We start from the raw sequence: 17,486 nt of genomic DNA, 5'->3' as shown, positions 1-17,486 counted from the left end.
CTTGACACATAATAAAACTCAGTGAATATTGAAATGAATAAATGAATGAATAAAGAAACATTGTATTAAGTTCACCAATCCAATTTCTACCCTGCAGATAAGTCTTAAATCTGTCTCTTCTCACACAATCTCCCCTTCAGTAATTCAGTTGAGACCCTCATGATCTTCCTCTTGGAATTTGACAGTGGTCTCCCCAGTGGCAGAAGCCATATGGTACTCTTAAGACACCTCCCCTCACCTCTGAAAACAGCATGATACAGTGGTAAGAGACAGACTTGGATTTAAATCCTGCATCAAAATTTCACTGGCCGTGTGACCTCAGACAAATGGTTTAATCTCTCTGGACCTCAGTGTCCTCCTGGGTAAAATGGAGATATCAGTAAATGCCTCCACAGAGTTGTCTAAGGATTTACTGAGATTATGCATGTAAATAATTGGCACATTGCCTGTGAAACAGATATTCGGTAGGTGTGGATATGCCCTTCTCCTCCAGGATGAAAGCCATCACATGTACAGGTGGTCAATAAAACCATTCTGTATCCTTTGAAGAACAGACGAGTGCCTGATTCGTCTTCCTCTTGCATTTGTGAGAGCTGTGTCTCTGCCTGCTGCCCCAGGCCCCTGCCCTGGCTTTCACCTAAATAAATGAATGTAAAGTTTAGGCTCCACATCTTAATCTATTTGGGCTGCTATAACAGAACACCTAATACCAGAAAGTAGGTAGCTTATAAACACCAGAAATTTATTTCTAACTGTTCTGGAGGCTAGGAAGTCCAAGATCAAGAAACTAACAGATTTGGTGTCTGGTGAGGGCCCATTCTCTGGTTCATAGATGGTACCTTCTCACTGTGTCCTCGCATGGCAGAAGGGCAAATAATTCTCTTGGCCCCTTTTATAAGGGCACTAATACCATTCATGAGGCTCAATTCTCATGACCTAATGATCTCCCTAAAAATCCCACTTTCTAATCCTATCATCTTGGCAGGTAGGATTTCAACATATGCATTTTGTGGGGGCACAAACAGTCAAAGCACAGCATCCCACCATAAGCTTACCTGCCAACCTGGTCTTTAGTCATTCATTCCTTTATTTAACCATTTCTTCAACAAATGAATGGACAAATATCTGTGGAGAACATGAGCAAGGCTGTGAGGGCACAGTTCCTTATCTTCACAGAGCTTTCAGTCTAGTGCAAGATACACATAAGTAAACAGAAATTTGCAATATCATGTACTAATGCTATTATGGGGGAAATATAGGAAACTATGGAAGCAGGCCAAAGGGTAACTAACCAGGATCGAAAGGCCAAAGGGAGCATCCCTGAGCATTGTGATCAGATGGGAGGGGTGAGTAAGATGTCACCATTTGAAGAGGCAGGTGGGAGGAAGAGAGGAGAAAAGGGAACTCCATGTGCCAAAGTGCAGAGCTGAGAGAAATGATGTGTGCAAGGAGATGGAAGGACTTCATAGTAGGTGCAGACTACAGAGCACTGCAAGAGGTAAGCAGATATGCGGTTGTGGTGTCAGTGTCCACATGCACAGATGGTACCTAGAGGGCAGAGAAGGGAATGGGATGATAGGAGTTCAGGGAGATCTTTATCGTACACAGGACTGCCACCTATTTATCATTCACTCACCACCCCACTCTTTTTCCTATGCTCTATCTTCCTTCTCTGTCTTTTACCCTTCACTTGTACACTGAAAAGAAATGGATTCTTGTCAGTTGCTTTAAGCATGGAGCTGAAAGTCCATCTACGAGGATCTTTATGCTATGCTTATACTCTCCTGTGACAATGGGTAAAGTTTTGTGTGGAGTTATGGGCAGACTGCAGAGATCACCGGCTCATCCTTCTTGGCTGCCTTATGCCTGTGAAAGAAAAAAAGAACATTCAAAAACTTAGAAATCTTACACATACAATTCATTCTAAACTGTGTTGGAAAGACCCTGCACTCAACAGTGAACATGGCTGGGCCTTGTGAACAGGTCAGAGGGTCAGAGGGTGCCAAGCTCTCATTGGAGATCTATCTCCTAGAATGCCTGCCCCTCTGAGTGCTCGATGCATGGTCACGTTCCTGCCTATAGTGGCTTGGGTTAGCACAATAAGCCCCTATTTTTTAGAAAAGTAAACTGAGACACAACACTTGCATATTAGCCACATTTTTGTTTTTCTTATTTTACTTATTACCAGTTATCTGTGACTAAACCAAAATAGCATAGACCCACTCCACATGTAACATGTATCAGTTGATATAAATTAAGGTTTTATTATTGATTTAACTACAGCTGTCTTAATGATAAGTTAATGGTGGAAAGTGTAAGTGTATTTGTGGTTTCCCTCTAAGTAATGTATATCACCTCATTAGTTCAACATGAATTCATCTACCATAAATTGAGGGCTTACTCTGTATAAAATGTTCTGCCAAACACAGGAATGAATGTTCCATGGCATTTGACCTCAGAGAATATACCGTCTGGAGGGAAAGATGAACACATGCATAACTAGCCAATTTCCAAGTCATTCTGTGGTCACACCAACCTGCTTGTGATTGGATTCCCAAATTACACCTCTGGACCTTTCTGTCTCTCTTCTGTCGGCTCAGAACCATCTCTGTGCCTTGCTTCCAGGCCTGCCCTAACATTTCTGCAGCCCAAGGCAAGAGCATAAATGGAAGCACACCTATCAAACATGCATACATTTAAAAGTTATAAATCAAGCCAACAAACTGTTATGTAAAAATGCATTCTGTCTTCCTATGTGACAAATATATCTTCATAATGACCTGAAGGCCAAGCTCAGATTTAGAATTTTCAGGCTCCTTGGATTTTTCCATGCTGGAACTTACTGCTGTAGAATATGCCAGCCCGCTCCACTGCTCTCTGCTCCCTGGCTTTCTCCAATTCAACAAACGCTTTTGGGTATAGATGTATGGACCACTTAATCTAAGCTCCACTCACCCTCCCCAACATCACCCCAAAGCTTGGGCCTAGGGTACACACACTATCAGCACATTCTGGCCTTTAAGAGTACGGACTTGGGGAAAAGTCCAGTGCAGGCCTGGAAGGGAGTTTGGGGATGTTTGGGTAGGGAACTCTGGGGCACTGGGTGGTTGAAACCGGTTCTAGAAAGCAGAAACATAGGGTGGTGCAGAGCTAGAGAAAGGACACAGCAGGATCCTGAAAGCATGGGGTACCCTTCTTGGCCCATGTAAGGACAGTACTGCCAACCCCATTCTTTACTTGTGTGGTGAACTTGGGCTTATTCCTCAAGATCTAATGCAAGTATTTCCTCCTGGCTAAATTCCTATCTTTGTGACATCACAGTCACTATACCTTACACATCCCTTTTGACTGAGGGTTCTGGAAAGCAGAGACTATTTCTGTTTTTCATCACATTTTTGCCCCCAGCACCTACATAGGGGTTAACATTGGAAGAGCTCAATAAATTTCTGTTGAATGAATGCATGAATGTAATCCCAAATAGTGATGTGGAATTGTAATGAAAGATATCAAGTGACCAGGAGGCTCTGGAAGGTCCTCCAAAAGGAGGTGTTATTGGAGCTGAGCTTAGAATGAATGAATAAGATTCTGGGAAAGAATTCAAGGAAGGAATTTCAAAACAGAAGGGAAGATATTTTCCATATACACAACTCAAAATAAAGTGTGTAGACCAAGCATTTCATTCAGATATCTACCTAATATACATGGAAGATATAATCATTTATAGCTTTGCTTAAGATTTTTATTCTGTTTTATTTAAGTAAGTTTTCAAAATCTACACATTGCAAAAGTAGTTGTGGCTCTTTTAAGATCGAGGATGTTCTGCCAGACTGATGAGGCGGGGAAAACGGCTGGAAGCCTGCTAAATTGTTAGAAAGGAGATTAATGTTATGTAAATGTAAGTAATTAATCAGCAAGCACCTAGAAGCCAAATACCTGATGTGAAGAGACATTCTTTGAGAAGGGAAAATTGCTCTCCTCTGATTAAAAATGGACTATCAGACAGCATTCAGATTCATCTTTTGCTTCTAACTTTTTCCAAGCTGTCTGAAGTTGAATGTAATCTTCCCCCGCTCCTCAACATAAAGAAACAAAAGAGGAGCTGTAAGACTTGAGCTGAGAACTAGTTGAAGCTCATGGCTAAAGAAAGAGTAAAGAGAACAGCAACACCAACTGAGCTCTCTAGGGAGCTCAGGGTTTTGAATTGATGTCAGGCAATCATGTTACAATTGAAAGTATAGGACATTCAAAATTATGAAAACAATGATTTTGCAAACATCTCTTACCTGTTGCCTGCCCCAATATTCATCCTCTGGTCTTCTGAAACAAACCTTCCTACATGATGGGCACCAGCCCAGGTGGTGGAGGAGAGCTGCCCCCGTCATTACACCTCACTACAGAGGTGTGAACATGCCCTCATTACAGAGGTGTGATCATGCCCAGGCCTGGAATCTTAGAGGAGCTCATCCTCCCAGCCTCAGGAATTGAGTCAGAAATGGGCTGAATTGAGCCTTCCTAGTGGCTTTACTTGGGAAATATATTATTTCTTGGAATTGCTAGCTGGTAAATCCCATACGCTTGTAGCTGCTATTGACATCTTTCCTGACATGAGCAGAGGGCCTTAAGAACTCCAACACAGAAGAAAGCAGATTCAAAAGATGGAGCAAGGACAATAGATCCTGACAACATCGCTTGTGATCCTGTTGTGTTTGCCTGGTGCCTGTTAACCCACATATGCCACCCTAAGTCCCCTCTATTTACTCAAACAAATTTGCATTTCTGTTGCCTGTAATAGCAACTGTTCAGATTAATAGAACACAGAGATTTCCAGTGGTTACTCAGATTCCTAAAGTAGATGATTATTTCTTGTCCTGAAAACGATATTTTCTATAGACTGCCTTTATGTGTTTAATAAAATTTATGCAAACCTATTATGTTCCTGTAAGCATACATGTCTTAGATAATAAAAAGATGAATAAAACTTAACTTATGTCTTAATAGAGAACACAATTAGTCAAAAAAAAATCAGTCTAGGAGGATAAAGACTCTTAAAAATAAAATTTAGGTTTGAAGTATTCCATTAATAAATTTCTAGGCCTTAATTTTAATCACATAAAATTTAAAGTATTTCAAGTGACTGTGGTTATTATTCAAAGCCAGAAGACACACAGGCTTTGTATGAAAAGTTTTTTGCTAGCTTAAATGTGTCTGTTTCTTTTGTGACACATAAAATGACTGAATATATTTTAAGCTTACGATAAAAATACAAACTATTTATAAAATGAAAACGTAGAACATTACATATAAAAACACATGAAAATGCAGCCACAGCAGTTACCAGAGATACATGTTTGGCTGTAAATACGGTCATTATTGAAGAAAACAATTACTATAGATTCATTAAGAAATTAGAAAATAAGTATAAATATACTAGAAAAATGTAAATAATAAGATCAGAAGCTAATATACTTAAAAATAGAGGGAAAAAGCAGAACTGAGATATTCAAGACAAACTCTCTACATATAAGCAATAGAATATACACATATGACAAGTCTAATGAAAAAAGTGAAAACACAAAAATCCAAATTAGAAGAGATTCAAAAATTATAAAAGAAGATTATGCATAACTTCACTCAATTTGAATATCTCAATGAAACTGATGAATCTCTGGGTCAAAATAATTACTTCAAATTGAATCAAGGATAAGTAGAAACTGAAACATATCTAATATGGTTTCTGGCAGAGGGCAGGCATTCAACAACTTGAATGCATGAACAGAGAGGAATTGGAACAGGTGTCAAAGTACAACTTGTAGATTATTTTTCATGAGAAGTAAATTCACACTTTCAAGGGCTTAACATCTATCACACTATTCAAATTGTTTCAGAGTTCAGAAAATGACATAAGGTGTACAATCTATTTTATGAAACCAGCATTATCTAGAACAAAACCATAGATAGCAAAAAAGAAAATTACAAACAAATCTTACCTATGAATATATATTAAAGCATATGAATATATTTTCATCTGTTTGTGATGATATCTCATAAAAGTGGATAATTGGATTTCCACAAATCTAAAGGCTCTGTTTGAATTGTCTGATTTTAAACTAAGACTTTTGGGTATAAAGAGCATTTGTTCTGGGTGTTCCAAGAATGCATCTCAAAGACATGGGCAGTAATTTTCTACATAAGCCAAGATGGGTGGGGGTGCATGCGTGAATGTCAGGAGAAAAATCCTGTGGAGAGTACAATGACAGGGAGAGAGGAGCAAGATGCACACACACACAGGAAAACAAACAACACAATGGTGATGTCAAAAAATACTCCAAGTCAGAACTCAGGGGCATCTTTCCAAACTGCAGACCCTAATTATGTTCAAACTGCTTCTCACATGGTTTTCATATAGAATAATTTATTTATCATGGTTAACATTTCTCCTTAGCAATGTGGCAGTACAATGCAAGTAGACTGATTGCTAAGAGAACAATTCAAATATAAAAATTATAATACTTAGAAATAAGCATAGTTAGAATTGTATAGAACCTTTGTGAGTAAAATTTAAAACAAAAACAAAGAAACAAAAAGACTTTGAATTAAAAGTCCAACATATAACTGAATGAAAAAGATTTCATTTTAAAAAATTGACAATGTTCACCAAATTATATCTATTAGACTTTTTAATCAAAATTCTAAAGGGAGATTTTAGGAATTTGACATATATATTTAGACTTTTCTGAATGAATAAAAGGGCAAGAATGTCCAATAACATTTTGGAAAAGAAGACTAATAAAATTATTTGTCTTACAAGATAATAATAATTATTTTGAAAATAATTATTTTTATTTTATATATTTAAGAAACACTTAATTTACCAATAATCTATGTGCACTCACTATAGAGAAGATCGCCCAAACTTATTTTGGTAGAAAAGAATAACAAATTATGCATTTTTATATTTATATCAATATGATTGCTTTAAGTGATATGTTCCTTGCTTTATTAAAAAAAGAAAAAAAAAAACAAGGCCAATCAATAAATCTTGAAAATGTGTTTAAATTTTCACATCTTATATTGTATAACAGCTACGCAGTCATTGTTATAAGATTTTTTCTTCCGATCTATTTTTTAAACCATGGAACGACACACACGCACATATAAAAAATGTATTTTTTTCCCCAGAAACAAAGTGCAAACCGAAACCACAGCTATGATTTTATTTTCTTTCCTAGTCACCAAATTACCCAATTTGCCCCAGTAATATAAGGAAGTATTGGCAGCTCCCTCATGGCTGATAAGAACTTGAAGAGGGGACAGATTTATCAGATAAATGTAAATTGTCAGATACTCTTTCCAGATGACCTCAAGATTAGTTTTGCCTGCTGGTAAGGGTTGCGCCTTTTGTTCAACTGCATTAAAGAGTCCATTTAGAAAACTTCAAAACTCTTTATTTCTGCCCGAGGATGCTGTCCTACCGACTGCCCCTCTGGAGATGATGCAAAAAATCTCCACTTCTTTTTAAATATGGGGAGTAATTTACCCAAGCAAAGCAATAAATTGTGTTCAGAAGTAACTAAACTCAGCGTGCCCTGTAGTTACTGCTTGGTTCTGCAATTTCAAACCTATAATTAGATACGTTGTTAGGTTTTGCCAAGCTTTAATGACCTCCATTCTGTTTATGACAAATGCTGGAGAGCCACCCCCTGGGGGAATCCTGTGGGGCAAATGCTGATGACTTGATGAGGGCTCGCTTTATTTATTTAATCTTGAGATACAATTTCCCCATTTTCAGATTGTTAAACATTCCAGCATGTCAGCATAATGTATGTGCATCATGCATGGTATGTGTGTGGTGGATAGTGTGGGTGGAGTATGTATTGGCAGCATGGGGAGTCATCAAAATTAATCACTAAATATGCAAAGACTGGATTGGAAGTCATAGACCTTTGGGTAATGCTCTCCATGGCTGTACTTTTGATTCTCAAGAGGTGGTTAATGAAAAGTTGGGCAAAGTTGTGTTTAGTTATGGTTATTTAATAAGTAGATAAGCATTTATCACGTGAGTAGTACAAAATGACCGTTCATAACCTCCTTGGGAAGACAACACAACATAAACAAAACAGATAAGGATGAAGCAGGCAATGGAGAGCTCTTCAGGAAAGACTTCCCTGATCTTTCCAGGCAGAATCAAGCCCTTACACAAGCCCCATTACTATACTTAGTGCATTGCAATAATTACTTCTTTACACACTTGCCTCATTCACATATAAGGTAAGCTCTCTGGGCACAGAAACTATTCTTGTTAGTATTCCATTCTTAGTGCCTTACATGGTCCTGACATGAGACAGGGGCTCAGAAAATGGGAGTGACCATGTGAATTAATGAACATGGTACAAGGTCACCTCTATACTGGAGGAAAGATCCTAATGGTTGTTGGTAGAGAGAGTCAGTAAAGGAAGCCTTCAAGGGTGGCCTAAGATGCATAAGTAAGACTTTATACCCACTCTAGATGCAACCACTGTGACTAAAGGACTGGTATAAACACCGGACACTTTCAGTTGCATGGGGTTATTAGAGAGTATCAGAAAAGGTCTCCTTGTCTTCCCCAAAAAAGTATTTCATTAATTGGCCTTAAACTCTTCTGGAGTAAGATAATTCTGTTGAAACTGAAACACCTTTGAGAGACTAAATGCATCAACATCTTATAAATCATCACTATATTAGATGATATCGTTTCCGGAACACTTTTTCCCCTTAAATGGAGGAAGGAGGATGAGGATTGACACACGGTATTCTGCGTGAGGAAGTAGGTCTGGGAAGGATCCTCAGCACAACCAGAAGTGGCCTAAGAACATCACCCGGAAGTAGGTTTCTAGAAGTAGTGGAAGGCAGCAAGTGAGCAGAACCCCCAATACAAGCTCAATAATTTGCCATTTTGTTTTGAGCTAATCCTTTTTACTGAATACACAGACACAGGAAAGTAGGTTGCCTTTTGCATTATCCCTACTTTCTGTGTTTGCCTGTGTCAATGGAAAAGTGACCTGGAAGTTACAGCAGAGGAGGGCAGAATCTGGAATTTTTGATCTAATTTGAATAAGAAGTGTTCGGAGAGTAAAGGATGATTTGCAACTCCCCATAGCTACAGGGAATAATGGGTCTTAACTGTATAACAAAGAGAAAGAATCAAAGCACAAATTTGGAATTTTATTGTCAAATTTCTGAAAGCAATTTATTTAAATATGTAATTTTATTACAATTAATGGTTCTAGTTAAGGTGGAAAAATTAGTCTATGGACAAGGTTGCAAGCCTCCTTAGGTTATGAGTCTAAGTGGCTGCTAGAGGAGAAGAGAACTCAGGCAAAATCATGACACAAAAGTAGAAGAAGGCACAGAGAATGGGGTCCAACGCTTTGAAGCCCAGTAGAATCTGGGTGGAAGGCAGTGAATAAAAGGAGGGAAGAATCGTGAGAAAAGTTAACGCAGACAACAGTGAGACTCTTCACAAGGTGCCAAAGGAGGGCTAATAATTTGGCACCCCTTCAAACTGATATGTTTACATTAGCTTTACCTGATGTAAAGTAACCCACTCTGACTGAACTTAGTAGCCATTGATAACATATTAGCAAATTATATTTAAGTTTATATATACATATGTCTAATTTCATTGTGCAGTCAAATAACCTTTTTTTCTCAGTTACGACTGTTAAGGAAACCGATGACAGTGCTTGTCAAAACATCACAGAGTGGAGAGCTAATTACAGGTTTCAGCACCTTTCTTCAAAAGTCTGTCTTTGTGACGTAATGACCACTGAAAAAGCGAAGCAGATGGGAAACTCTTCTTTTGGATAAGAAAAGCATATTTGTATGAGATTTTGAAATGCAAAATACACAAGATAGAATATTCTCCAGCTTCCCTCAAGGCTTGCTCTCCCAGCCGGTCTTTTCTTCTTTGCTCTCCCATGTTGATTACAGCTCCTTGTTGATTATTCATTTCTGGTTCTCTTTTTGATTAGGTGCTCCACATTTGGCGATTCTTCTCATTCCAATCGTTCCTTAGTGTCTTCAGCCCATCTCAATTTTTTTTATTCTAATGAATTTGGTCTCCTCTTTACAGTTTATTACCATTCTTCTCTTACAGTTTCTAAAAATTCTTACACATAGTCTTTCCATTTTCAGGGCCATTACATTTTAAGCCTTTATTTGGTGAATCAATGCTCATAACCATAAATGATTCTAAAGATTGCATTATCATATTCTTCATTGGCTCATCATTTTCAGTGCTTAATAATGAACAGGCATGGGTTTGCCAGTGAGTGCTGAGGCCTTTAATGATTATTGGCTGGAGTGATCACGTGAAACCACACTCAAACTTTGTGGAAACATACCAAAGCGCTTTTTACATATAGATATTTATTCAATTCTTAGTGAAGAAGAAAACAACCTAAATTACTACTAATAAAAGTGTTATACTCCATGTTTTATTTTACAATTAAGGAATGTATTACATGTGATTTTTCAGAGCAGACAGTTCCTGGGTAAAGCATATTAAACCAGTTAAAATTATGGCTAATTCAGCTTATTGCCTTTTTCAGGCAATCAGCTTTTTGTTATGCATCACTTAGTTTCAGAATTGTAGCTTGCCTGACCTCTGGCTTCACTGGTCTTGGAGGCAGCGTTTGGCCTTGGGTTGCACTATGAAACTTACACAACTGCATTACAGAAATGGCCAACAAAGGGAGATGGTGCTGGTGAGGAGCATGCTCCCAAAAATTTCCATGAAGTTTGGTGGAGAGAGGTTCCAATTTATATTTCACTACTGAGAAAACTGAATTAATCGACACCATTATTCAGATCTGCATCGGTGGTATTTTTTAAAAAGGTATTACCTGCCAAAGTATTGCTTAGGTGAATCAACCCATTCACCTAAAATATAAATTTTAATCAAGTACCCCACAAAAAAACATTAATCTCAAGCCACCTACCTCTACCTTTCCCAGCCCACTTTTGCTTGACTCTGATTCTGAAGAGACTAAAAGTTTTCAGTAATTCCAACATCTTTTGTATAAAGATTTTATTAAAGTATTTTAAAATTTATCTACTTTTCCTTTCTGACTCCCGAATCAACAACCCTTCGATCCTGACCCAAATGTGAGTCAGTTGATTCCAAATAAGGCTGAAAACTCTTGAAAAAGTAAAAATGCAAACATTTTTTTTCTTTAGCCCAGACAGGAATTAGAAACTGCTGACTGCATCCGTTTTAAACTAAATTTAAGAAATAAACAACTTAGCTACCCCAGTGATTGTTGACAAGGGACCAGTTACATCCCACTCCCACACTTTCCCTGCTTAGGCTGCCTAACCACTAGGTTTTGTGAATTAAAGAGGAAAAGAAAGAAGAGAGATTGAGCTCATCATTGAAAACGAAGCTATCGGCAGATCTGTTTGGTATCTTTACTTTCTAAAGATAGCAAGGTTAAGTTCCACTGTGGAAATGATGACCTGAGGAGGGAGATGGAGGCTGGGTAGAGTTAACGTGGTCCCGCTCTTGGTGCGTGCTTGGTTGGAGAACTTTGCGGTGCCCTTAGCATGAACGGGGTCCTGTGCTAACACCTCATTTGCAGGCAATGCTACAGTGCCGAGGTTACAAACTTGGCGGCTTGAGGCCTGTGTCCAACCCATCAGACTTATTTGTTTGACCTTCACAATCTTAAATAAAAATTAAGCCAACATTTAAAGATCAGACAATTACATATTAAATCTCCTATTTCTGCCTTTAAAAAAAAAATCAGAAAAGGCAACAAACTCCAATTCCCCAGAGCTGAGTAGCAGCTGTCCAGCCTCCAGCTGGGCCCAGTCTCACCATTTACAGCTCTTCCTTTGATACTGAGTTTCCTTTGCCATTTAGCATGATGTTTTTTCGCTGCTGCTTTTCTCAGTAATCATTTAAAAATTATATCTCAAAAGTCAGAAAATGAAAGGCAGATTGAGAACTTTCTCCCCCAATATAAATGAGAGAACATGTTTACTTGTGGAAGTGAAAAATATATCCATTTGCTTAATGAACAAACAAGTTAGGTCTGTGTCAAAAGAAGACAGCTTAAGGTTCCCAGCTATGCTACCAATTTATGTTACCCTCATGGCTCATGTGGGTGTTGGAGTTTGTAACCCCTGAATTGTTTATTACATTCTCTACATCAGTGGTTCTCAACAAAGGGGTACAGAAGAATATCACAGTCAACCAGGTGGCTTCTTCAAACTACACGTCCTTCCACATGGATGATTCTGGGATGCCTGCCCCTCTGGAGCCCTATCTGATTACAATTGTTGTCTAGGAAATTCTGATGTAATTATCTAATAGAGAATTCCTCATTCATATTCAACTCCTTGTTCATATTCTGGTCTTCAGATGACATTTATTGAAAAGCATCTTGATGTCTTTATTTCAATTCTTCTGCCCTGCTTCACCCCAAAGTAAGATCGCTGACAACTCTGGCATTCAGGTATCATACTGACCACCCATAGGGTATGTGTATAAATGGTGGGAAGCTGCCAAGAAGCCCCCTCTGATTGTGAAGTTCTTGTTTCAAATGGTGTGTGGTAATCAGAGTGGGAATAAAAACTGCCTGACACCTTTGAAACTGCAGTAGGATGGTTAGCAAAAACTCAGGATATCTGTAGATGTGTGGCTAGCCAATTTGAGAACCTGGGGAGCTTATTAAAATATTGGTGTCCAGGCCTCATTACATTGTTTTTAATTAATAATTCTGGGGTAGATGTTGAGAGACTGAATATACAAATGGACAATGGCCAGAGCTACATAAAAATAGAATTCTGACCCACAACCTCTGTAGCAACCAATCCAGGAAAACAAACCATAACCTCTGTAGCAATCAGCCCAAAATGGCCAGGATTTGGTTAGCTTCCCTAATGTGTGTCTTCCTTCCAACTTAAGACCAGCTGGAGAAAGCCAAATATGTACCCCTAACCAATTGCATGGGATGCTCTGCTTTTAGTTAGACCATCTACGGCATGCCCCTGCCAACACCCTCCAATCAGGACACAACTGAACCCTTCCCTTTTGCTCACTATACAGCTTTTACACTTCCCCGCCTGCCTTTGTGTTTCTGCCAAATGCAAGTGATAGTGGCTGGCTTCCTTGCTGTAATGAGCTCTGAATAAATAGCTTTTGCTTGTTCCTATCTGGGTAGTCTTCCCTTATTTTCAAAGGTTCCAGGAGTCAGTACATTTAGCAGCCTCCCCAGACAATGCTGTTGCACAACAACATTGAAGAGTCACTGCTATAGAACACTCCTGTGTTTCCCAAATTTTTCAAGAATCACTGTATGTGTGCATATGTGTGTGGGGAGTAAGTACAGATTCTCGTATCTCGCCCCAAGATCCAACTGAAATAGAATTTCTGGGAAGTGGCCTGGGGGTTTTTTTTCTTCAACTTTTTAAGTTCAGGGGTACATGTGCAGGATGTGCAGGTTTGTTACATAGGTAAATGTGTGCCACCGTGGTTTGCTGCACAGATCAACCCATCACCTAGATATTAAGCCCAGCATAGGATTTTGTTTTTTAAAAAATAAGCCTCCTCCTCCAGGTTGTTCTTATTATCAAGGACATGTGGGAGACTCTGGTCCATGGTGCTGTCCATAGGCTTGTGCCAGGTCACAATAAAAGCACCTAGAACATTTGTTTTAAATAGAGACTTCTAAGCTCTACCATAACGTTGTAAGTCTAGGCTCTCCTAGTGATTCCAATAGGTCACATGTTCTGGGAGGCCATACTCTACTTATATGATTCGCAAATGGTAACGTTCATACATATCCCCTGGGAATCTTTTAAGAAGGCAGATTTTGATTCAGAAAGTCTAGGTACGGCTGAGATTCTGTATTTCTAACAAGCTCCCACATAACACTTCTGCTGCTGGTCTGCTAACTAGGCTTGGAGTAGTTAACATTGGCTGCATAGTGGAACCACATGAGGAAAGAGCCCCAAGTGTGAGACCTAGTGGGCAGCCAAGATTTGGAAGACTAGTTCGTCTACACACTGCTCAGCCACATGACTGGAACAGTGTTTTCACAGGAATGGCAGCACAAGCGATCTGAACAGCGCTCTGATGAAATCAGCACTGACCTGTGCCTGACGTCCTATACTCCTCAGCATGGCTTTATGGGTTCTTGCAATTTTTCCTGTGGGTGTGAAAATGCCTGGAAGTCCACTCAGTGAGCTTTGCAGTGGTTGCTCCGTAGGATTCCTGTTGAACTGCCTGGCCTTCAGCCATGGGGAGATTTTGCTGAGGGGTAGGCTTAATGGTGGCCCTGAATATTCCTGCTGCCCAGCAGCTGGGAAGTAGTTAGCTGAGCAAGATTCATCTTCAATGACGAAGGGGATTTCCACAAGGTAAATTGTTCTAACCTCAGAGATGAGTGTGATTGGATGCTCCCAACTTAAAAAAGAAAAAAAAAAGGTACACAAAAAAAACCTGGTGGTCAGATTGGTTTATGTTCAATCTTTTGTCCCTAGGCTTTCACGACCAATTACAGGGGCGAATGAGACAACAGTGTTGTTGCTGATGAGAAGGCAAATCTGGATGGGTTATAATCACAATCCACCCTTCACCAGATGGCTTCCTCTGTTGCCAGGCATTTGATGAGCCATTTCATGAAGCCTCTTATGGGGATGGGTTAATGCCTGAAAGCCTGTGGATTTGAATGGACCAATGTGAAGGTGCTTAATAGATCCTTGGATGCTTGGCTCATTTTTACTTAGAGGATAAATAAGCTGGTACATAATACAATCTAAGAGAGCTTTTCCAGAATAAAACTACCTCACACCTGAGGATTATGTAGCTTTCAATTGATCATGCATGACACCAGAAAGGAGCAAATTTGTGATAATAGGCCTGGAACCATATTACCATGAGTCCAGGGACACATGTTTTTAAAAATCATCTTTCCAAAATGTGTTACATCATAATAGATCAATTGCAAAGGTCTCATGGCTGATAAACACCCCACTCTGCCTGTGCTCTGTAATTATCTAGAGCAAAACATTCTGTTTAGTGAATGGCCTTTGTTTTCTTTTCTATTTTTTTTTTTTTTTTTTTATCTTTTTGGAGAAGAGTCTTACTCTGTCTTCCAGGCTGGAGCGCAGGGGCACAATTCAGCTCACTACAACCTCCCTCTCCCAGGTTCAAGAGCTTCTCATGCCTCAGCCTCCCAAGTAGCTGGGACTACAGGCACATACCACCACACTCGGCTAATATTTTTTTTTCTTTTATGCATTTTAGTAGATGCAGGGTTTTGCCATGTTGCCTAGGCTGGTCTCAAATTCCTGAGCTCAGGTAAACTGCCTCCCTCAGCCTCACAAAGTGCTAGGATTACAGGCGTGAGGCACCGTGCCCGGTGGCTTGTTTTCAACCACATTGAAATAACGTATAAATAAAAGGTATCTCTAAGAAATATTCAGATATCTGGAGCCTGGATCATGTTAGAAGAGGCCAGGAGAAGCTAGAGGCTGTTTGTAATTATTATGATGTGCTACCTAATTCTCAGGCAGAGGTTGGGAGGTTAGCAGGGAGAAGGCAGCAGAATGTCCATGTGGAAAAAAAATCTTTATCATCCACAAACCAGTGCATGTCTGGTTTCTGAGAAACAAGATCTCTCTCAAATATTGATATCCAGAGGCTGGTCTAGTGGTCATGAATCACTGGACATGAGTCATTTCTATATATATAGATAGATAGATATTATAGAAATATATATATATTTTTGTAAAAAGTACACCAGGTACCTTTATTTTAACAACAAACTTGATGTGTGTTCAACTCTTTTCTGAACAGAGAGTTCCCAAAATAAACTAAGTAGCAGATTACCTTATTTCAATGTTTAGCAGACGGTGAGTGATACAGAAACTCCAGACCAACCAAAGGAAAAAAATTTATAGTAAAGTTTTGCACTATACGATGGTATAGTAGACTAATATTGCTTTCTTTATCTTATCTCACCACTGTATTTTAATACCCAAGAAGATACAGAACAAGAAAGAAAAACTAGCAAAAGTACTGAATTCAGAGATACAAGAAACCCGCACGACACAGTCTGGAGAATTTCTTTTTTTGTTTGTTTGGTTGGGTTTTTTTGTTGTTTTTTTATTTATTACTATTATACTTTAAGTTTTAGGGTACATGTGCACAATGTGCAGTTTAGTTACATATGTATACATGTGCCATGCTGGTGCGCTGCACCCACTAACTCGTCATCTAGCATTAGGTATATCTCCCAGTGCTATCCCTCCCCCCTGCCCCCACCCCACAACAGTCCCCAGAGTGTGATGTTCCCCTTCCTGTGTCCATGTGTTCTCATTGTTCAATTCCCACCTATGAGTGAGAATATGCGGTGTTTGGTTGTTTGTCCTTGCGATAGTTTACTGAGAATGATGATTTCCAATTTCATCCATGTCCCTACAAAGGACAGGAACTCATCATTTTTTATGGCTGCATAGTATTCCATGGTGTATATGTGCCAATTTTCTTAATCCAGTCTATCATTGTTGGACATTTGGGTTGGTTCCAAGTCTTTGCTATTGTGAATAGTGCCACAATAAACATACGTGTGCATGTGTCTGTATAGCAGCATGATTTATAGTCCTTTGGGTATATACCCAGTAATGGGATGGCTGGGTCAAATGGTATTTCTAGTTCTAGATCCCTGAGGAATGGCCACACTGACTTCCACAATAGTTGAACTAATTTACAGTCCCACCAACAGTGCAAAAGTGTTCCTATTTCTCCACATCCTCTCCAGCACCTGTTGTTTCCTGACTTTTGAATGATTGCCATTCTAACTGGTGTGAGATGGTATCTCATTGTGGTTTTGATTTGCATTTCTCTGATGGCCAGTGATGGTGAGCATTTTTTCATGTGTTTTTTGGCTGCATAAATGTCTTCTTTTGAGAAGTGTCTGTTCATGTCCTTCGCCCACTTTTTGATGGGGTTGTTTGTTTTTTTCTTGTAAATTTGTTTGAGTTCATTGTAGATTCTGGATATTAGCCCTTTGTCAGATGAGTAGGTTGTGAAAATTTTCTCCCATTTTGTAGGTTGCCTGTTCACTCTGATGGTAGTTTCTTTTGCTGTGCAGAAGCTCTTTAGTTTAATGAGATCCCATTTGTCAGTTTTGGCTTTTGTTGCCATTGCTTTTGGTGTTTTAGACATGAAGTCCTTGCCCATGCCTATGTCCTGAATGGTAATGCCTAGGTTTTCTTCTAGGGTTTTTATGGTTTTAGATCTAACGTTTAAGTCTTTAATCCATCTTGAATTGATTTTTGTATAAGGTGTAAGGAAGGGATCCAGTTTCAGCTTTCTACATATGGCTAGCCAGTTTTCCCAGCACCATTTATTAAATAGGGAATCCTTTCCCCATTGCTTGTTTTTCTCAGGTTTGTCAAAGATCAGATAGTTGTAGATATGCGGCATTATTTCTGAG

The 17,486-nt window shown here is 39.1% G+C and overlaps 1 long non-coding RNA gene across 2 annotated transcripts; it reads right to left on the bottom strand.

The window, feature by feature from the left end:
* Positions 1–426: 426 nt before the first annotated feature.
* Positions 427–15,013, bottom strand: LOC105374810 (uncharacterized). Of its 2 annotated transcripts, XR_007087111.1 has the most exons (5): positions 2,781–2,869; positions 2,537–2,677; positions 1,637–1,866; positions 1,056–1,125; positions 427–637 (listed from the first exon to the last, which is right to left on the bottom strand). It is a non-coding gene; the product is annotated as an uncharacterized LOC105374810 (long non-coding RNA). The 2 variants fall into 2 exon arrangements; XR_007087112.1 differs by having other exon boundaries at positions 2,402–15,013.
* Positions 15,014–17,486: the final 2,473 nt, after the last annotated feature.

Source organism: Homo sapiens, chromosome 2 (assembly GCF_000001405.40).
Source record: "Homo sapiens chromosome 2, GRCh38.p14 Primary Assembly".
NCBI classification, from domain to species: domain Eukaryota; kingdom Metazoa; phylum Chordata; class Mammalia; order Primates; family Hominidae; genus Homo; species Homo sapiens.
Note: the sequence above shows the minus strand (reverse complement) of the source record. Positions and strands in the feature narration are given on the sequence as shown.